Genomic DNA, 23971 nt, shown 5'->3' on the forward strand with positions numbered 1-23971 from the left:
CACTAGAGATCTGAAGGCTTCAAATTTCCCTTTCCTATTTAAAATAAAAATCTGAGCATTTTCTATTTTATAAAATAATGAATAATTAAATGTTGACATTTATCTTCCATTGACCTTTCTGAAGCACCAACAGATAGACACCTCCCTCTGCCTTTCTCACTCTCTGGTGTTCCAGGTTTTCCAAACAGTGTTCTTGCTTGGGGTGTTCCGTGAAGTGGACAGGATACAACTGCATACAAATAGCAGTTTTTTAATGCTTTTGTTTTTTTTAGCATGAAATCAAGCTTAAATCAACAAATTATAATCTGACAAAACTTTTAAAATAATCTTTGTGGTACATAATATTAAAAGTGTAAAAATTTTTGTCATAGTAAACATATGTGGCTCAAAAGATAGGTATGGTAACGAGAAGGCATGAACATAATCTCTATTTTTGGGTTGCAATTTTTGAAACAGGGTCTTGCTCTGCCACCCAGGTTGGAGTGCAGTGGTACGATTATGACGCACTGCAGCCTCGACCTCCTGGTCTCAAGTGAGCCTCCCACCTCAGCCCCAGAGTAGCTGGAACTACAGGCATGCACCACCATGCCTAGATAATTTTATTTAAATTGTATTTCCCAGGATTAAAATCTCTATTTTTATTAGCCATCTCTGAATAAAACATCCTTTGCTGTCACCCAATTCCCTTTGTTTTGGACACCATGATCATAAGTAACTGTATTCGTATGAAGCTTTTCCAGATATAATACAAAATAAAACATGGATTTTTACACCATCTCTAGTGGGTTTCATTAGCAAGTGCCACTTCCTAAGGGCATGAGCTCCTCTTAGAACACTGACACAATTCCATTTCTGGATGAAAAATTCTGAAGGACGTACCATGGTTTCTGGAGACAGCACCAAACACTGCAGCCATAAATGGCCTTGCCAGAGCAGCAACAAGTCCCCCATAGTAACCCATTCTCTTTGGAAGTGCAATGGTATTCTTGCTTTCTTCACTATAAATATACATCTGTACTGTCAAATCTCATGCAACAATAGTATATTTTTATTGCTTTCAACAAAAATGTAATGACAAAAAAACTATAGGAAGGAATTTTTGGCTTTCAGATATAAATATGGATGGTGCATATAAACACTTCATTTGAAAGAGAAAAAAAGCAAAACCTCTAAAATCAATAAAACCTTTTGCAAAATTTTTGCATTTTTCTTAAATTGATGTGAAATTCTCATGCAACAGTACAGAGACTTTAAGAGTACCATGCAATGATTGTACGTACACTCTTGTAACCATCTGACAATAAAGATATAAACCATTTTGTTCATTCCAGAAGATTCTCTCATGCCCACCTTCTAGTCAGTTTCTCTACTCCATACATAGAGGTCATTACTGTTCTAGTTTTTTTCTCCATAGCTTAGCTGTGTGTATCCCAGAACTTCATACATATAGATTTTATAAGCATGTTCTCTTTTGTATTGGATTCTTTTGCTCTAATGTTTCCAGTCATCATCCACGTTGTTGGGTGCATCAATAGGTCATTGTTTTATTGCTAAGTAACCTACACCAAAGTTAGTTTATTCATTAAAATATTGATGGACATTTGAGTTATTTCTAGTTCATGATCATTTAAATAAAGTTTCTCTTTGTGGGCATATGTTTTCATTTTTCATGGGTAAATGCTAAGATTGGAATTACTGGATATGTGTATGTTTCACGATATCTCATTGTGGTTTTACACTATGAGTAATGAAGTCTTTTCAGAATTTCTCTTGTGCAGTGTCTGTTCAAGTATTTGATTGTTGATTATATTGAGTTGTGTCTTCTTATTTATTTTTAGAAGTTAATGATAAATCCTGACTACAATATGTATGTACATATATACATACACACACACACACACACACATATATATATATGAAAAGGCAATTCATGGAATGGAAGAATATATTTACCATATATTGTGTGTCTTGAAGAGCTGAAATTTTAAATTTTGATAAAGTCTTTTATGGTTAGTGCTTTTTATATTCTAAGAAAATTTTGCTTACCTGTGTTCATAAAATTTCTGCTGTGCTCTCTTCTAACTGCAATCTCCACCTCATGGGTTCGAGCGTTTCTCCTGCCTCAACCTCCCGAGTAGCTGGGATTACAGGTGCGCACTACTACACCCAGCTAATTTTTGTATTTTTAGTAGAGACAGGGTTTCACCATGTTGGCCAGGATGGTCTCGATCTCCTGACCTCATGATCTGCCCGCCTTGGCCTCCCAAAGTGCTGGGATTACAGGCGTAAGCCACCATGCCTGGCCAAGGCTTCATATTTTTAACCTTCAGTGTTTGGTCTGTGATCAATGTCTAGTTATTTTTTGTGCATGATAGGAGATAAGGGTCAATACTTATTTTGTCCTATATGGTTATCAAGGTGTTCCAATGCTATTTATTGAAAAAGCTATAGTTTGCCCCTGGAACTACCTTGACATTTTTGTCAAAATCAATTGATCATAAATATGAGAGCCTATCATTGAATTCATCTCTTTCATTGACACACTTATTATCATTGTGCCAACTCCATATTGCTGCTAACTGTAATATAACTTACATGTGAAAAAAATCTTGAAATTATATTTTGAATTTTCATTCAAATTTGAGGCATGAAATTGCCCTAGTTTTATAGAAAGAAGTGTAAAGATGCATCTGTATTTTGAGTCCCATGCATGATCTGTATATCCGACAAATAATGGAAGGAAAGAAGAGAGTAAAAACAGTGAATATGAGGGGCTCACAGGACCAAGAGGAAATACAAACTAGCTACCTCTTTCCTAATGCTAGTGAGTCACTAAAGCATTAGTCAATTAATTGTCTTGATATAAGTCATCAATAGTCTTCAGAAAACTTCTCTGGGGAGCAGCTTTTATATTTTAATGCAGAAACCAAAAGTGGAAATCAAAATTAGGTGAGGACAATAGTGTTTTCTCATAATATGTAGTATATAACAAATGTAACATAAACTTTTTGATATGAAGAAGATTTTCATTTACCATTGTAAAAAATTTGTGATATCTTCATAGTTTCCATCTTTTTAGGTTGTTTTCCTTGTGACTCAAATGAGGAAGAATAAACTTGGTTTAGGACTATTCAATGCCAGTGTTTTCAGATGGTGAGTAATTGTAATTATCAAGGACTCTGGAGTCCTGGTTTAAGGGGATATTGAGTGAACTTCTGAGTGAGAATCATGAACCTTTTCAGCATTTTGGTTTTAAAATATTACAAGTAAATGCCTTTTCTTGAGAAAGCATTCCGCAGAAGGTATTTATGTATTTTTTCCAGGTGAATTAAGCTCTAGTTTGAATGACTATGAGCCTGCCTCTGCTAGACATCAATTCCTACTTCATAGTTCTTCTCTTTTTGTTCTTTTGTGGTTTATTTAATTTTTTAAACTTTATTTTTAATGATAAATAATAATGAGCTATATTTATGGGGTATAATGTGATGATTAGATATGGGTTTACAATGTGGAAAGATTAAATCTGGCTAATTAACAAATTAATCACTTCACAAACATTACTTTTTTATAGTGAAAACATTTAAAGTCTACTCTTTCAGCAATTTTGAAATATGCAGCATATTATTATTTATAGTAATCACCATTCTGTAAAATAGATCACCAAAGCTTATTCCTCCTCACTAACTGAAACTTTGTACCCTTTAATAAACATCTTCCCCTTCCTCATTGATTCTTCTCCCCCAGCCTCTGGTAACCATCATTATACTCCCTATTTGTGTGAGTTCAACTTTTTTAGATTTCACATATGAGAAAGATCATGCAGTATTTGTCTTTCTGTGCCTGGCCTATTTCACCTCCGGGTTCATCTATGTTATCCCAAAAGACAGGGTTTTCCCCCTTTCCAATGCTAACTAGTATTCCATTGTGTATATATGCTACATTTTCTTTATCCATTCATTTGATGATAGACACCTAGGTTGCATCCATATCTTAGCTATTGTGAATAACATTGCAATGACCACAGGAGTTCAGTTATCTCTTTGGCATACTGATTTGATGTATATTCCTTTGGATAAACACCCAGTAGCAGGATTACTGGATTGTGCAGTAATTCTATTTGTAGTTGGCTGAGGAGCCTTCATCCTATGGCTTTGTTCATTTACATTCCCACCGACAGTATACAAGGGTTCCCTTTTCTCCATACCATTGCCAACCCTTGTTACATTTCATTTTTTAATTAATGCCCATTCTAACAGATGTGGTTTTAACTTGCTTTTCCCTGATGGTCAATGATAATGAGCATTTTTTTATACCTCTGGCTTTTTTTGTTTTATGAATGCACTTTTTTTTGATATTTATTTATTTTCTTTATTTTTGCATGTTTTGGGGTACAGGTGGTATTTGGTTACATGAGTAAGTTCTTTAGTGGTGATTTGTGAGATTTTGGTGCACCCATCACCCAAGCAGTATACACTGCACCATATTATTTAGTCTTTTATCCATCGCCCCCCCCACCCTTCTCCCCAAGTCCCCAAAGTCCATTGTATCATTCTTATGCCTTTGCGTCCTCATAGCTCAACACCCACACATCAGTGAGAACAAACAATGTTTGGTTTTCCATTCCTGAGTTACTTCACTTAGAATAATAGTATCCAATCTTATCCGGGTCGATGCAAATGCTGTTAATTCATTCCTTTTTATGGCTGATTAGTATTCCAATATATAAATATAACACAGTTTCTTTATCCACTCGTCGATTAATGGGCATTTGGGTTGGTTCCACAATTTTGCAATTGTGAATTGTGCTGCTATAAACATGCTTCTGCAAGTATCTTTTTTATATAATGACTTCTTTTTCTCTGGGTAGATACCCAGTAGTGGGATGGCTGGATCAAATGGTAGTTCTACTTTTAGCACTTTAAGGAATCTCCACACTGTTTTCCTTAGTGGTTGTACTAGTTTACATTCCCACCAGCAGTGTAGAAGTGTTCCCTGTTCACCACATCCATGCCAACATCTACTGTTTTTTGATTTTTTGATTTTGGCCGTTCTTGCAGGAGTGAGATGGTATCACATTGTGGTTTTGATTTGCATCTCCCTAATCATTAGTGATGTTGATTATTTTTCCATATGTTTGTTGGCCATTTGTATATCTTCTTTTGAGAATTGTCTATTCATGTCCTTAGCCCACTTTTTGATGGGATTGTTTGTTTTTTTCTTACTGATTTGTTTAAGTTCATTGTAGATTCTGGATATTAGTCATTTGTCAGACGTACAGATTGTGAAGATTTTCTCCCACTCTGTAGATCTGTTTCCTCTGCTGACTGTTCTTTTTGCTGTGCAAAAGCTCTTTAGTTTAATTAAGTCCCAACTATTTATCTTTGTTTTTATTGCATTTGCTTTTGGGTTCTTGGTCATGAAGTCCTTGCCTAAGCCAATGTCTAGAAGGGTTTTTCCAATGTTATCTTCTAGAACTTTTACAGTTTTAGGTCTTAGGTTTAAGTCCTTAATCCATCTTGAGTTGATTTTTGTATAAGGTTAGAGATGGGGATCCAGTTTCATTCTCCTACAGTGTCTTGCCAATTATCCCAGCACCATTTGTTGAATAGGGTGTCCTTTCCCCACTTCATGTTTTTGTTTGCTTTGTCAAAGATCACTTGGCTGTAAGTATTTGGCTTTATTTCTATGTTCTCTATTCTGCTCCATTGGTCTATATGCCTATTTTTATACCAATACCATGCTGTTTTGGTGACAAAGGCCTTATAGTATAGTTTGAAATCAGGTAGTGTGATGCCTCCAGATTTCTTTTTGCTTAGTATTGCCTTGGCTATTTGGGGTTTTTTTTTTTGGTTTCATATGAATTTAACAATTTTTTTTTCTAATTCTGTGAAAAATGATGGCTGTATTTTGATGGGGATTGCACTGAACTTATATACTGCTTTTGGCAGTATGGTCATTTTCACAATATTGATTCCACCCATCTATGAGCATGGGATGTGTTTCCATTTGTTTGTGTCATCTATGATTTCTTTCAGCAGTGTTTTGTAGTTTTCCTTGTAGAGGTCTTTAGCCTTGTTGGTTAGGTATATTCCTAAATATTTTATTAATTTTTTTTTTGCAGCTATTGTAAAAGGGGTTGAGTTCTTGATTTGATTCTCCATTTGGTCACTGCTGGTGTATAGAATAGCTACTAATTTGTGTACATTAATCTTGTATTTAGAAACTGCTGAATTTTTTAATCAGTTCTAGGAGTTTTCTGGAGGAGTCCTTGGGGTTTTCAAGGTAAACGATCATATCGTCAGCAAACAGTGACAGTTTGACTTCCTCTTCACTGATTTGGATGCCCTTATTTCTTTCTCTTGTCCAATTGCTCTGGCTAGGACTTCCAGTACTATGTTGAATAAGAGTGGTGAGAATGGGCATCCTTGTCTTGTTCCCAGTTCTCAGAGGGAATGCTTTCGACTTTTCCCTATTCGGTATTATGTTGGCTGTGGGTTTGTCGTAGATGGCTTTTATTACATTGAGGTGTGTCCCTTGTATGCTGATTTTGCTGACAGATTTAATCATAAAGGATGCTGGATTTTGTTGAATGCTTTTTCTGCATCTATTGAGATGATCATGTGATTTTTATTTTTAATTATGTTTATGTGGTGTATTACATTTATTGACTTGTGTATGTTAAACCATCCCTGCATCCCTGGTATGAAACCCACTTCCCACTTGATCAGAGTGGATTATCTTTCTGATATGTTGTTGTATTTGGTTAGCTAGTATTTTATTAAGGATTTTAGCATCTAGGTTCATCAAGAATATTGGTCTGTAGTTTTCTTTTTTGGTTATGTCCTTTCCTGGTTTTGGTTTTTGGGTGATGCTGGCTTCATAGAAATAATTAGGGAGGGTTCTTTCTTTCCCTATCTTGTGGAATAGCGTCAAAAGGATTGGTACCAATTCTTCTTTGAATGTCTGGTAGAATTCTGCTGTGAATCTGTCTGGTACTGGACTTTTTTTGTTGGTAATTTTTAAGTTACGATTTCAATCTCCCTGCTTGTTATTGATCCGTTCAGGAGTACCTAATTCTTCCTAATTTAAACTAGGAGGGTTGTATTTTTCCAGGAGTTTATCCATCTCTTCTAGGTTTTCTGATTTATGTGGGTAAAGGTGTTCATAGTTGCCTTGAATGATCTTTTGTATTTCAGTGGTGTCAGTTGTAATACCTACTGTTTCATTTCTTAATGAGGTTATTTGGATTTTCTCTCTTCTTTTCTTGGTTAATCTTGCTAATAGTCTATTAATTTTATTTATCTTTTCTAAAAACCAGCTTTTTGTTTCATTTATCTGTCGTATTTTTTTTGTTTTAATTTCATTTACTTCTGCTCTGATCTTGGTTATTTCCTTTCTTCTGCTGGGTTTATTTAGGTTTGGTTTGTTCTTATTTCTCTAGTTCCTTGAAGTGTGACCTTAGCATGTCAGTTTGTGCTCTTTCAGTCTTTTTGATGTAGGTGTTTAGGGCCATGAACTTTCCTGTTAGCACCGTCTTTGCTGCCTCCCAGAGGTTTGGATAGGTTGTGTCATTATTGTTCAGTTCAAAGAATTTTTTAATTTCCATCTTGATCTTGTTTTTGACTGAATGCTCATTCAGGAGCAGGTTATTTAATTCCCATATATTTGCATCGTTTTGAAAGTTCCTTTTGGAGTTCATTTCTAGTTTTATTCCACTGTGGTCTGAGAGAGTGCTTAATATAATTCAAATTTCTCAAATTTATGGAGAGTCATTTTATGGGCTATCATATGGTCTATCTAGGAGAAAGTTCCATGCACTGTTTAATAGAATGTGTATTCTGTGGTTGTTGGATGAATTGTTCTGTATATATCTGTTAAGTCCATTTTTTCCAAGGTATAGTTTAAATCTATTGTTTCTTTGTTGACTTTCTGTCTTAATAACCTGTCTAGTGCTGTCAGTGGATTACTGAAGTCCCCCACTATTATTGTGTTGTTATTTCATTTCTTAGGTCCTATTAGTAATTGTTTTATAAATCTGGGGGCTCCAGTGTTAGGTGCATATACGTTTACGATTGTGATATTTTCCTGTTGGATAAGGCCTTTTACCATTATGTACTATCCCTCTTTGTTGCTTTTAACTGCTGTTGCTTTAAAGTTTCTTTTGTCTGATGTAAGAATAGCTACGCTTGCTGGCTTTTGGTGTCCATTTGCATGAAATACCTCTTTTCACCCCTCTACTTTAAATTTATGTGAGTCCTTAAGTGTTAGGTGAGTCCCCTGAAGGCAGCAGATAGTTGGTTGGTGAGTTCTTATCCATTCCACAGTTCTGTATCTTTTAAGTGGAACATTTAGACCATTTACATTCAATGTTAGTATTGAGATGTGAGGTACCATTGCATTCATCATGCTATTTCTTGCCTAGGTGTCTTGTTTTTTTTTGTTTTTGTTTTTTTCTGTTTTTGAATAGAAGCGGTGAGAGTAGATAACCCATCCCAAATCCCCTCACGGGCTGCTGCTTGTCCTGTAGATGGAGAGCCGGAGCATGGACCTGCCTGACCCAGACCCCACCCGGCTTTGCCTTCCTTCCACCCTAGTAGCTTAACACAAAAGACAGAAACTTTTGGGAATTGATGGCCCTGTCCATCACCCCAGAAAACAGAGTACCCCTCTGGGTAGCATAAGGCAAGCACAAGTCCCACCATGGCTACTGCAGCTGGTGTTCTTTTGCAAGTCCCACTTTCTGGATGGAAGCCAACCAACATAGTCCGTTACAGCATCTCTAGGTAGAATAACACCACACTCAGGAAGGAGAAAACTTGTGTGTAACCTCAGCCATCACCATTGCCTGCAGCACTGTGGCTAACTAGGAAGTCCTCAGTGTGTCCATGTGACCAGATCTTTACTATAATCAGCATCTGAGAAAGCCAACACACTAAGGCTGGTTATAACCAAGGAATATCACAGAGCCTACATCACTCCCCTACCACCTCTATCAGAGCTGGTGCTGGTACCCACTACTGGGACACTTGAGGACAGGTCACATCACTGGATCCCCAGCAGACATTCTTCAGCACCAGCCTGGAGTGTGGCAGCCCCACTGTGTGGCTAGATCCAGAGGAGGAGCAGCATTCACAGTAGGCTGGCTCTCAGGGACTCTCACTCCTAGGGGAAGGGGGAATGCACCATATCAAAGAAACATCCTCTGGGGAAAAAAGAATCCAGACAGCAGGCCTTGAGTCCCAGAATTTTCCACAATTGGGAAGTTTATTTCAGCAGAGGCATAGGTGCAGTGCTGGGCTCTGTGGCAAAGTCTGCAGCTCTACCCCAAGTCAGGTAGGCTTGGACTCAAGGGATCTTGGAGAAGAGGACTTCTCTTCCCTCTTATCCACCACTGCAGACACAGCTGTAGTTTCTCCCATGGGATCTCAGCATGGGTGCACCTATAGACAGCCTTTCTGGAACATTTCAGGGTGACTGCAGGTCCACAAAAGTGATGTTCCAAGTAGAGAGGAATTGTCACTCTACCCTTTGTTCAAGCTTGCACAAGGGGCAGAGTCACAATTCCTTTCTATTGGAACATCAACATTCCTGCAAATGAAAAGAGGTGCCTGTCCGATCTGAATTGCTGAAGCACTGGGTCAGGAGTGTGTCTTGGAAGTAGATCACTTTGTTGCTCGGCTGGCAGGGGAGCTGAGATGACTCCCACCGTTCCCCCTCATAAGACTTCAGTGTGTTTCATTGAGAGCTCCCCCAGCCACCTCTGTCAAGGCTTGGACCTCTGTCCACCATTGGGTATTGCAATTTCCCATCTGCTTTAGCCACATCTGGTCTCTACCCAAGGACACCTTCCCTACTGACCCAAAGACTGAACTAATAATCAATAAATAAGTGCACACCACAGGGTAATAAGATAATCTTCAAGTGATCTCTGCCATTCCAACCTTGGAGGAGACCATTAAATTGCTCACACACTGAGCACATTGCTACCACAACCAGCATCTGAGAAAGCCAACATACGAAGACTCTCTATAACCAAGGGACCCATACAGAGTCTTCACCCCTGAACGCATCAAGAGTCAAATTAGGCTACAATAAACTAAAACCATTAAAATCACATCCTTAAGCAAGAAGGAAGGAAATTAAACAAAAAACACAGTTAAATAAAAAATGAATGCAAGAATATTTAGAACAAATAGTCTACCAAAATGAAAAGAAACCAGAAAAACAATTCTGATAATATGACAAAACAGGGCTCTATAATATCCCCAAAAGATACACTAAGTCCCCAGTAATAGATGCAAACCAAGAGGAAATCTTTGAAATACTAGATAAAGAATTCAAAACGTTTATTATTAGGTTACTTAAAGAGATGCCAGAGAAAGGTGAGAACCAACATGAAGAAATTTAAAAAGCAATTCAGGATATGAATGAAACCTTTCCTAAAGAGATAGATATTTTAAAGAAAAACCAATCAGAACTTGTGGAAATGAAAGACACATTTAGGGAATTACAAAATGTAGTGGAAAGTAGTAATAATAGACTAGACCAAGTAGAAGAAAGAATTTCAGAGCTCAAAGACAAGGCTTTCAAATTAACCCAATAATACAAACATAAAGAAAAAAGAATGAAAAAACAAGCAAAATCTCCAAGAAATATTACATTATTTGAAATGTCCGAATGTAAGAATAATTGATGTTCCTAAAGAAGAAAAGAAAGCACGATATTTGAAAAGTTATTTGAGGGAATAATTGAGGAAAACTTCCCTGGCCTTGATAGAGATTTAGATATCCAAATACAAGAAGTTTAAAGAACTCTTGGGAGAATCATTGCATAAAGGACATTTCCAAGGCATATAATCTTCAAGCTATCTAAAGCCAACATGAAGGACAGTATTCTAAGAGCAATGAGACAAAAGCTTCTGGTAACCTATAAAGAAAAACCTATCAGACAAAGAGCAGACTTTGCAGCAGAAACCTTACAAGCCAGAAGGAATGGGGTCTTACCTTTAATCTCCTTAAACAGAAAAACTGTCAGTCAAGAATTTTGATTCCAGCACAATTAAGTTTCATAAATGAAGGAGAAATAACAACAACAACAACAAAAATGCAGAAGGAATTTGTTAGTACAAGACCAGCCCTATGAGAAATGTTAAAAGGAGTTCTAAATCTTGAAAAAAAGTTTGATATGCACCAGAATAGAACCTCTTGAAAGCATACAATTTGCAGACCGTATAAAACAATAACACAACAAAGAAAACAAAGTACCTAGGTAACAAGGTGATGACTGGAACAAAACCTTACATTTCAATATTAATGTTGAACATCAGTGGCCTAAATGCTCCACTTAAAAGATGTAGATTGGCAAAATGAATAAAAATCATAAACCAAATACCTGCTATCTTCAAGAGACTCACCTAACATGTAAAGTTTCATATAAACTCAAGGTAAAGGGTGAAAAATATATTCTGTGCAAATGGAAACCAAAAGCAAGCAGGAATATCTATTCTTATATCAGATAAAATACACTTTAAAGTAACAACAGTAGAAAAACGAAAGGTCACTGCATGATAAGAAAAGAATCAATTCAACAAGAAGATATTAGAATCCTAAATTTATATGCACCTAACTCTGGAGTGCCCAGATTCATAAAACATTTACTGCTAGACCTCAGAAATTGGATAGACAGCCACACAATAGTAGCAGGGGACTCCAACACACCACTGACAGCACCAGACGGATCATCGAGACTGAAAGTCAACAAAGAAACTATGAATTTAAACTACGCTCTGGAACAAATGGACCTAACAGATATTTACAGAGCATTCTATCCAAGAACTGCAGAAAATCATACAGGATGTGAGGTGAGCATGCCCTGGTCTTTCTCTCTAGGTAAATTAGGAAAAACAAAACAAAAAAAACCTGGCGCATAGTCTCCCCAAAATCTGACCTTTGGTAAACTACGTTTCTGATGCTGCCTTAACAGATTATCACAAACTTGGTGGCTTCAAGCAGCAGAAATTTATTCTCTCAAAGTTCTAGAGGCCAGCAGTTCAAAATCAAGATGTCAGCAGGGCTGAGCTCCTTCTGGAGATTCTAGGGGAGAATTCTTCCTTGCATATTCCAGCTTCTGGTGGCTCCAGGTTCTCTTGGCTTCTGGCTGCATAATTCCAGTCTCTCCCACTATTGTCACATGGCTTTCTTTTCTCTGTCTGTGTCCTCTCCTGTTCTTATAAATGCAACTGCCATTGGATTTCCCTGCACCCACCCCACATTCCGGGATGATCTCATCGGAAGATCTTTAAAGTAATCCTATCTTCAAAGACCCTTAGTTCATATAAGGTCACATTCATAGGTTTCAAGTGGACATGACTTTGGGAGTTGGAAGTGAGGGGGGCCAGGCAGTGTTGCATAACTCAACCCATTATGGGAAATAGAGCTCCTCTCTACAGAAATATGGTAGAATAGGGAATGAGTTTTTCTGCAAGTTTGGGGCAATCAAACCCTACTGACTGAAGACAGAGTTTACATTTTTCCTTGTCCCCAAACACAATAAAATGTGGGCATTCAAATGTTCTTACTGGGTCTCCATATCTTTAATACTTCTGCCAGGGGAGAGAAATAAACTGAGTCAAACTAGTATCAACAGAATAATGTAATTGTCTGGATATTGTCATTAAGGAATAGAGAGGAGCCAAAAAGTTGCTTACGTTTCTTGCTTGAGAAACACAGTTCACCAAGGCCTGAGTATATTGCAGAAGGCACATCGTTGTAGGGCTTTGTGTATTAAAGAGCAGAATTTAGGAATGGTATTCATGAACTTACAAATTCATTGAAAAATCAAATTGATTCTACAATTAAAATAATTTCCATTTAGCTAAATAATTAAAACTTTAATACTGTATACTTACAGCCTTCCTCTAAGTGGTTCTCAACTATTGGGTAATTTTACCTCCAGAGGACGTTTAGCAATGTTTGGAGACACTTTTATTTGCCATGACTGGGTAGGACGTGCTACTGGCATCTGGTAGGTAAAGGTTGAGGGCGCTGCTAAGCATAGTTCAATGCATGGGCAGCCCCCATATAGAAGAATGATCTGCTGCAATATGTTAGTAGTGCTGAGGTTAAAAAGCCCCCATCAAAGCTTTGCTGTGAGACACAGATATTTCACATTTGCAGTAGTTAAATCTTGCATTAAACCTCTACTTTCCTCTAGGACAAAGTCATTCATTCTTTCTTTTAGTCAGTTACTTAGAAATTAAATATTTACTGAGTGTTGAATATGGTGCCAGGTGTGATTCCAGGAGCACCAGTGAACAAGAGAGATCAAAATATTGTTGTGGCAGGAACAACATAGTAAAACATTAAGGAGGTTCAAAAAGCGAATGCATACATGTATGTGTGTATATTAACACATATAGCATATATAAGTATATATATCTCTATATATATGCTAGTGTACACTCACATACATATATCCTTGTACACACTTATCTATCTACCTTATTTTCTCTGTGGCTTCTCAGATTAGCTGTTCACATCCCCTTTTTATTACTGCAATACATATAGGAGATGAAGTTCCCCTTGTAATGCACCCAGGTGGGTAAAGCTAAATTCCAGGACACTTTGTTTCCAGAAACAAAATAAAGGTTAAGGTAGGTGCCAGTTTGCAGCATGCTAGCTCTACCCAATTGAGAATGTCTTTTTAAGAGACACTGCTCTGAAACCATTTTAATGGAAGGAACTCTTTAATTTGTAATCTGAATATTTTATGAGTTGTGACAAATTAGTCCCAATATATCTTACAAATGAGCATAATACATCAGAATGTCCCAAAGCCATGACTGAGATCTGCTGAGGTAAAACACAAGATTTCTCAAATTCTTTTGAGTCAAATTTGTAAGTAGCTGAGGTACAGATGTTGCAGCCAACTCTGATCAGCCTGCCTACAGATGTGGGGCTTTGCTCTGGAGTATCTGGTACTCCTTCTGATGCTACTCTGAGTATTAGAAACAAACAGAACAAGCAAGCAAACAGAAACACCTGGAGAGCTATGTCCCATAGAGGTAATTTAATAACATGATTCTCATTCACTGTGTGCATTTCTATGGAAATCTCAATCTTGCAAAATCTAGAGCTAATGATCTCAATTATTTTTTTTTCCACATCCATTATTAGGCATGGAGTCATGGATGAGTAAAATAGCTTTCCTTGGAATTCACTCTTTTTATATTTTGTTTCCTGCAAAATAAATTTTTATCTTCCTCCTTCATTTTTCTTCCTACCTTAGCCAGTAAGCTCCATTTCTCTAAACTTCCAAAGATCACCTTGAAGGAAAAAAATATGGAATGTGTCAACAGGCGTATTGTAAAGGTTAGGTGATTACATGCTATGGTTTACTCAGATACATTATACATGGGTTATCTGCTCGCTAAACTCCCAAGAGGGTGTAGAAAACTGAATAGGAAATCTTGCAGACTTTTTTATTCCTATAAATTTTTCTTTCTGTTTCAATTTGTGATAAAATAATGTGAGAAAACCCTTATTTATTTTTTTTATCAAGTAGTCAGTGACTCTCAGTAATTCTTAATGACAAATAAAAGAAATTGAGGGAAGGATAAAAATCCACAGATGTAAAGATTATTTGGTTAATAACAATCTAAATAATTCTTAATTATCTCATAAGCTAAGCTCAAGTGGATATTTTAATGTATTTTATGTTTCATTTGAACTAGTTTGCTTATATATAAGATATTTATATGGTAATTTATATACATATAAATCATTGTTGAATTTACAGTTATCCATTTAAATTATGCCACATTAAATAATGTTTACTTATGCTTGTATGCAATTTTTCCAGTGGTATTATTTTCTGAGGTTGAGTTATCACCATATACAATTTGCAAGAGAGGTGTATACAGATATGCTTAATATGTAAAAATATTTAAGTATACAAATAATTACTATGCCTACACTTATCATAGTATAACTTACAAACTGATAAAAAGAAAAAAAATGAAGCAAGTAACTGACAACGTATTTGGCAAACTTTTAAATGATAATGTTAGATAAAATATTTCCATGTATATGGAACTCTGTGAAACAATAATTATAAACATATGAGTTTTTTATTATATGAAAAGCCAGCTGGTTATGTATACAGTATAAATATAATTTTATATTATAAATATGGAGTCTGGCTTATTTAATAAAAGATCTATTTGTTGTTTATTTCCTTCTTTTTGTTTGACTTTAATTTTAACTGAAGCTGTTATTTACAGATTCATCTGCATTACCTTGTGTTTAAATTTTCAATTACTCCATTGTTTTTCACATTGACTGCTATATGTACATGACATCTTGAGTTTTCTACAGTTAGGAAGTGTCTGTAATTATAAGTAAATTTTTTTCTCATTACAAATATAATACACATTCTACTTTATACATTCTTAATGTATATGAATGTATATAAGATATATATGAATGTATATAAGAATGGAAGATTTTCTATTCAGTTTTCTACACCCTCTTGGGAGTTAATGAGCAGATAACCCATGTACAACGGTATCTGAGTAAACCATAGCACGTAATCACCCAACCTTTACAATACGCCTGTTGACACATTGCATATTTTTTTCCTTCAAGGTGATCTTTGGAAATTTAGAAAAATGAAGCTTACTGGCTAGGTAGGAAGAAAAATAAAAGATGAAGAGAAGGAATAGAATACATATTCTATTTTATACTCAGTATAACCTTTTTCCTTATTGCATAAAAAATGGTTTGCTTTGTATTCTCCCTAATGCAGACCAATATGGTATTTTTTATAACACGTATTTTAAACAAATTATAAAAATCTAGACATGGCTTCAGTAAAATTACCTCCCGACTAGTTTAGTGTGATCATCATTCAGATATATGATTGACCAGATCATACTGTTTGATAAAGTCATCATGATAAATAATACACACAAAGACAATTAGTTTTTTTCAGTAACTACAAAAAAGGGAAAAATGTAATGATTAATTTTCAATACAGTATACAGATTGAAATTCAGTTATAATTAACTACCAAATAGTGTGTTTCTGTGCACACACACACACACACACACACACCCGGGTTGCAGGAGAGGGTGGTTAATCAGTAAGAGAATGGAGTTGGCATGTATTCCTCACAGCAGGAGGAAAAGAAGCAATGGCCCCTTAAATTAAAATTATGTAAACCTAAAAGTAAATTGGAGCCTGTGGGGTTTTGGAATTTACTTTGAAATAATTCGTTTCTAATACCTTGTCTTCAAAACTGAGTTGGAGAAATTAAAACAGGAAGCTAGTATTATATAATCGTTTTGTCTATCAGAATTTGAAACAGGAAATTTCAGATAATTTAATAAACATAAAATGGAATGATAAAAGGAACTCAATTATGAGAACGAACTCTCTCAACCATCAGCAAGGAATACCAAGATAATTGAATAATTCCAAAGAGTATGAATGGCAAACTTTAAATAGCAAATCATTTAATGGTACTTCAGAATGATTGAAAAATAAAGAGAAATTGAGGAGAAGGTTATTTGACTGTTTACAAAACTATAAAGTTAACTTCTGGGAAAGATAATTTACGAGAATGTAAAAATATAGATGTTCTGCTTCAGTGAATATGAAGAGCAAAAACACAATAAGTAGATAGCTAATGATGGATTTGTTCTGGTCACTGAAGTCACTCTGGTTAATCTCCAACTAAATTGCTCATTTCCATTTTGCTTTGCTCTGCTTCCTTGCCTACTTCTCTTCACCAAACCTATGTAAAACAACTAATCTTATGATCCCTATGATTTTTATTTGTCCACTTTTGAACTTTTTCCTATTTATATTTTGCCTGTCAAATTCCATCTACTTATGGAAATATGCTACCTTCTATTTCCATGCATTTTCTCGTGTGTTTCAGCTCTTCCTTAAATATGTAAACATTTTATCAAAGGCAACTATGTACATGACATAATTCTATTTTATACTTTTCCCCCTTAAGTTGAAGTATCAGGATATTTCCTTACATAATCCAGAAATTCTATTCCTTGTCTTTTTTGGGAAAAACACACAGACAAAAAAATCCTAAACTTTTCTCATTTGCACATTCAATGATTGATTAAATTCTATTTTAATCAAAAGCCCTTTGAGGGCTTTCACTGTAACACCATGAATTGATTCACAACCAACCTAAGAATAAGAGATCTTTGATATTATAGAGGGATTAGCAGGCACACTGAGACACATTGCCCCAGACCAATTAAGAATAGCAGTTACAGCATGCTGACTACCTCTGCCTGCCAGCACCTCAGCCTGCCTAATCCCATAAGATCAGGGCAATCTGATTGCTTTCAATTCATTGCTCTGACACAGTTGATTAACACATAATTTTGTTCTATTTATCAACCCAAATCTTTGTTCTTCATTGTAAAGCCCCATATTTAATTATGAGCTAGTTACTTAAAAAGGTGAAGCATACTAAATTATCCACAGGTTTTTTTATGAAGTAGTTGATTAAAATAATTTCAAGCTTATATCACTCCCACTGTCTTGTGGACAGCTGAAATTCAATAAACTATCTAATTCTAATTATAAACATCAAAATGCACTTGGCCAACTTTTCTCTAATAGTTTTATGTAAATGTCCTCATCTTCAGATTGGCAAGACTGTAGTCATGCACACGTCATTAATCACATTCCAATTATGTAATTGAAATATAATTTTAAGTGATTTTTCTTCTTTACCTTTATTCCATGACTGGCTTGTTCCCCTTCTTAATGAACAAAAAAATTGATCTAATGTCAACATGAAACTCCATCAGATGCCCAGTGAGCTTTAGGCTAATAGTACTCTTCTCTCTGTCATCAGTTGACTGTTGCCTTTCCCTTAAGAATCCTTCACATGTCCCCATTGCACTGTGGATACTATCATAGATCTTCCTATAGATTTCTTCTTAATTGATGCTCTTCAAGATACTATATGTACTCTAATACTCTTTTCATCTTCTATATCTTATACTCATTATTACTTATTCTGAATACATTTGTTTTACTTCTTACAGTGTCTTTTGGTAATGTTTATCTGTGATCCAAAGACAGTTGTGTGTGTGTGTGTGTGTGTGTGTGTGTGTGTGGCGTTGGGGGCTGGGGGGAGGTATGGTTCAGTGGCAGATGAATATCATTCACCCATCCATCTTTAATTATATGTATCAAAGTAATTTAAGCACTTTAGACATTGCTTTTAGTGGAACACTTGAAAGCAGTTATTTTATTTTATTGAAGAAATTTCATTTAATTATTAATTTTTCTAATCCAAATGCTACCAAACTAAAGAAATGTTACTGGAGATAAGACTAGTTTTAAATGAAAACTCTCTTGGTAATGAAATAAAGGAGATGATAATATTTACACAAACTGCTTAATGTCGTTCCTAATACTGAAAACTCTAGGAACAATTTGATAATAAATTAACCTAACATGTAATTAATAGCAGTGAACCTCTTTGACAGTATTTCCTAAGGCACTAAAAAAATCAATATACGTAAAAATGATTATATTGGGAAGGCTACCATTATGTATATCACACTAAATATTATAAGGAAAAACACAGAGGTATTGTTGAAAGACATACTGAAAATTTATATAAGGCCAAAAGAATGTGATTTTTCAAGAAAAGAAAAAACTTCATTCAAATTCCCACTTTGTTATTTGTCATTCTCAGTCATTTTATTTTGAGCTTCCTGAATTTCCTCATATGTTAGTTGGAGATAAAAATATCTAAAAAACTGTAACTTCAGTTGTGTGAAAATTAAATGAATTAAGCTGCATAAAATCCCTTTGGAAAATTAAGATGATATGAATATATTAGTTATAATCAAGTTTGTATGTTGATATTTAATGAGTGCTTCCTGCATTCATTTTATTTATTTTCCATCACAATTGCATAACAGAATCTATGATATTCCATAATAAAATATTATAAAGACAGAGAAATGTGCGTATATTAGTATAGCAATTCCGGTTTATTCTCTCATGTATCCATCTGTCTTTCCATCCATCTATATACTCATTAATCAAAGCAATCATGAAGTCATCTATGTTTTCATCCAGTTGGTGTTTATTGAGCACTTACTCTATGCAAAGTTCTGATGACAAAAAACTATGAATATGATTTTCTCTCTACCTTCAAAACTAGTCATGGACCCATTTTTATAGAACAAGGATATTATAAGACAATAAATGACCGGTGGAAAGTTTTAGCAGAGGTGTAACAGAGCTATTTTCTGTTTGTTTGTTTTGTTTGTTTTGTTTTTGGAAGCAAGTAGAGGATGGGCTGAGTGAGAGGACAGACACAGCACTCAAAGTTTGGAGACGTTATCAGTAATGAGTCAGTGTAGCATAGAAACTATTCTAGGTATTTTAATCAAGAAGGGAATTAGTACAGAAAATAAGGGCTTACAATAACGTTGGAAATTGGCTAATGGGGCTTGTTCTAGGCAAGGCTACCACAAATGATTTCCAAAATAATAGAACTTTAAGATTGCCTCTAGCCCACATTGTCCTTGATTGACAGCAACACTAACCAACTGCTAAAAGTAAGGGATATTGCCTCTGCCACACTTTCGCCTTCCTAAGATCATGTGAGTGCATCCAGTTGGCTGATCCCATGGAGATTCCAGACTCCTGGCTTCAAGGAAGTCTAGGAAATGTATTTTCAGCTTTCTAAATTCTTCAGTCAGATTGAAGAAAAAAGTTGAAATTGAGTTGGGTCAGCCAATCAACCTTCTCAGCACAGAGGACATAGGATGGGTGGGAGATCATGAGTGCCTGAATTAACCTAACAGTAGTTGAAATGAAGAGGAAGGAATAGATTATTGTAACATTTTTTAGTGAGATACTTCTTGGAATAAAACAGAGGATTCAGGTAGACTTTGGGTTTCTTATCGGAACATGAAGGCATTAACTGAAATAGAGAATGTATAAAATGGAATCATGGCAGACTGTGAGTTCTCCATTTGCAAAACATTTTAGTCAGATAAAAGGATAAATCATTGACTTTTTTAGTTACCTATTGCAGTGTAACATCTTACCCCCGCACTTACTGGCTTAAAATAACACACATTTAGGCTGGGCGTGGTAGCTCACGCCTGTAGTCTCAGCACTTTGGGAAGCCGAGGTGGGCGGATCACGACGTCAGGAGATTGAGACCATCCTGGCTAACACAGTGAAACCCCATCTCTACTAAAAAAATAATACAAAATAATTAGCTGGGCACGGTGGCGGGCACCTGTAGTCCCAGCTACTCGGGAGGCTGAGGCAGGAGAATGGTGTGAACCCGGGAGGCGGAGCTTGCAGTGAGCCAAGATGGCGCCACTGCACTCCAGCCTGGGTGACAGGGCGAGACTCCGTCAAAAATCCAAAAACAAAAACAAAAACAAAAAAAAACCCCACATTTATTATCTCACAATTTCTCTGGATCGAGAATCCAGACACAGCTTAGCTGGGTCCTTGGCTCCAATCTCTCCATGCCCTTAATTGAGGATGTTTGGTACATTTGTACTGCCGTTAGATTCTGTTGTCACAATCTGCCTTTCTTCCTGAGATATTGTGGCCTCTTACTGATTTTTAAAACTTCCATACATTACTAATGGTTCACCCTTTGTGCTATAAACATTATGGGTTTTGACAAATCTATTATGTCATACATCCTCTGTTAAAGGGAAAACTTTTACCGGATTAAGTGTAAAAGAGTTTAATGGAGCAAAGAACGATTCACCAATTGGGCAAGGGTAGGCTCAGAGACTCCAGCACAGCCATGTGGTGAAAGATTTATGGACAGAAAAAGGAAAGTGATATACAGAAAATGGAAGTGAGGTACAAAAACAGCCAGATTGGTACAGTTTGGCGTTTGCCTTATTTGAACATGGTTTGAACAGTTGACTACTTTTGATTGGCCAAAATTTAGTGATTGGCACAAAAGTAGACCTCAGTCTGTATAAAATTCCATTTAAGTTATAGTTCATGATGTGCAAAGAAACTTTTAAGCCAAACTTAAAATATGTAAGGAGGCTCTCCTTACCTATTTGTAATGTAGCTCTTTCAAGCTGGCATCTTTCACTTTGCAGTATGAATGTAAAGTTCCTCCAAGTCTTTGTGTGACTTACTAACTCCTTTCTTTGTGTCACTGAATAATACATTGCATAGATGCGCTACAGTTTGTTTAGCCTTTGACTTATTGAAGGATATGTTGGTTGCTTCCAGATTTTGGCAATTATAAACAAAGCTACTGTAAACATTTGCATGCAGGATTTTGTGCTTCAAAATTAATTCAATTTATTATTCAATTGAATTATATACCTAGAAGCACAATTGTTGAATTTTATGATAAGACTGTGTTATCTTTGTAAGAAACGTACAAGCAGTCTTCCAAAGTGGCTGCACCATATTGCATTCTCATCAGCAGTGAATGAGGGTTCCTGATGCTTTTGGTCCTCACTAGCATTTGACAATGTCAGCGTTTTTTTGAATTCAGAAACTGTTATAGTTTTAATTTGAATTTCTCTGATAACAAATGATGTTAGGTATCCTTTGCCATCTGCACGTCTTTGGTGACGTGTGTGTTTATATTTTGGCCATTTTAAATTTCGGTTGTTTGTTTTCTTGTTGAGTTTTAAAGTTTCTTCGTATATTCCAAATGCAAGTTCTTTATCAGGTATGTGTTTTGCAAATACTCTCTCCCCATATCTAGCTTATGATTTTATTCTCTTAACACTGTGTGTAGCAGAGCAGATGTATTTACTTTTAATATAGCCTAATTTATCAACTTTTTGTTTCATAAATTATGCATTTGAGGTTACATCTAAAAACTCACCACCAAATCCATGGTCACATTCTCCTAGATTTTCATCTGCAAATATTGTAGTTTTGCATTTTACTTTTAGGTCTATGATCAACTCTAAGCTCATTTTTTGAAAGGTGTAAAGTCTACGTCTAGATTTTCTTTTCATATTGATATTCAACTGTTTCTGCACCAATTATTGAAAAGACTATTACCCAATGACTTACCTTTCCTCATTTGTCAAAGAGCAGTTAATTATATTTATGTGAATCTATTCTGATCTCTCTATTTTAGTATATTTATTTATGCATTTTCCCCGTAGTGCTGATAGGGACAGGTGGCAGAGATATTCCAGGCAGAAAAGGGCAGGGTCCTTGGTGAGAGCTCCCCTCCACTCAAGCCTGGAACTGTGGCCCAGAGTGAGAACTTTACATCCCTGTTTTCCCATTGGAATGTTGCCTTTTCCAAAACCACCCCTCACTTGCTCTGCCCCCAATTCTGTACCTGTAAAAACCCCAGGCTCCACCAGCAGAGAACAGAGAAGGGGAGAAGAGGAAAAGCAGCTGGACGTCGGGGACTGCGGTTTGACGTCGGAGAGAAGCAGCTTGACTTCAGAGGGACAGCTTGACCGCTTTGCTTTGGAGAGGAGTCTGGCTGGGGATGGCTGGACTCCAGGGGAAGATCGTCTTCCTGTTCCATCCCTTTTCCAGCTCCCCTCCCACTGAGAGCCACTTTCATTGGCAATAAAATCCTCCATATTCACCACCCTTCAATTCGTTCATGCGACCTGATTTTTCCTGGATGCCAAACAAGAGCCCAGGTGCCACAGGTGTGGATACTAAAGGCTGTCACACTGACCCTTTGCCCTTGCTGGCAGAGAGCAACCACTTCATGCAAAAAGGCAGAGGGCCCACTGAGGTATTTAACACTTAAGCTGTCCGTGGACAGCCAAGCTAAAAGAACACTGTAACACACTCCCTCTGGGGCTTCTGGGGTCCCTGGTATTCCTGACGAGACACTGTCATGGGGCCTGCAGGGAGTTTTGCTCCTGCCAACACCCAAAAGCACTCTTTCTGGCTCCTGCACCCGCTCACCTGCGTGCTTCCCCTTCCCTCAAGGGCTTGAGAGCTGCAGGCTGAGTAAGTAGGCACCCTTGTCACGAGGTCCAAAAAGGGATCAAGGAAAATTTCCTGTTTCAGTGCTTTGGCAAAAACTTGAGTCAATGATACAGAAAAGTTATGAGAGTTGAAATCCTTGTCTAGTTCCCACTCATAATTCACTGATTTTTATTTCTGTAGTTTATAATCTGAGGTTAATTCTATCCAATAATATTTTCATTGTAGTAATTGGGTAATTTTTATATTTAGATATTGCTTTTGGTTTCTTTTTTGTAACGTCCAGTTCTCCATTTTTTTGGTACATATAAATAAATATAATAACTCTTTTAATGTTATTATTTGATAATTTAATCATCTCTGTCAATTCTATGTTTCTATTGACTATTTCCCCCCCAATCGTAAGTCTAATTTTCTTGTTTGTATGTGCAGTAGTTAAAAAATTCAAATTAAAAATATTGCAAATTTCTGGCCAGGTGTGGTGGCTCATGCTTGTAACCCCAGCATTTTGGGAGGTGGAGGCAGGCAAATCACTTGAGGTCTGGAGTTCTCCAGCCTGGCCAACAAGGTGAAACCTGTCTCTACTAAAAATACAATTAGCCAGGCATGGTGGTGGGTGCCTATAATCCCAGCTACTCAGGAGTCTGAGGCTTGAGCCCAAGAGGTGGAGATTGTAGCGAGCCAGGATCGCCCAACTGCACTCCAGCCTGGACAACAGAACAAGGCTCTGTCTCATATACATATATATATATATATCTGATATATATATATGTGTGTGTGTGTGTGTGTGTGTGTATGTGTGTGTATATATATGTGTGTGTGAGTATATATGTATATATATGTGTGTGTATATATATGTGTATATATATGTGTGTATATATATGTGTGTGTGTATGTGTGTGTGTGTGTGTGTGTGTGTGTGTGTGTATATATATAGCAATTTAGAATATTTACCTTCTAGAATATTTTCTGGCCAATAGATAAGTGACTTCTAGATT

At 36.3% G+C, this 23971-nt stretch overlaps 1 long non-coding RNA gene across 2 annotated transcripts in view; it reads left to right on the forward strand.

The window, feature by feature from the left end:
• Positions 1–22625, forward strand: part of LOC105373220 (uncharacterized) — a 121907-nt gene extending 99282 nt beyond the window's left edge. Inside the window, exons 4-5 of one of the 2 annotated variants that reach the window (XR_949308.3) lie at positions 3080–3153; positions 22378–22625. This is a non-coding gene — a long non-coding RNA (uncharacterized LOC105373220). Of the gene's footprint in view, positions 1–3064; positions 3154–22377 lie in introns of both variants that reach the window. The other variant, XR_949311.3, reaches the window with a different exon arrangement.
• Positions 22626–23971: the final 1346 nt, after the last annotated feature.

Source organism: Homo sapiens, chromosome 1 (assembly GCF_000001405.40).
Source record: "Homo sapiens chromosome 1, GRCh38.p14 Primary Assembly".
NCBI classification, from domain to species: Eukaryota; Metazoa; Chordata; class Mammalia; order Primates; family Hominidae; genus Homo; species Homo sapiens.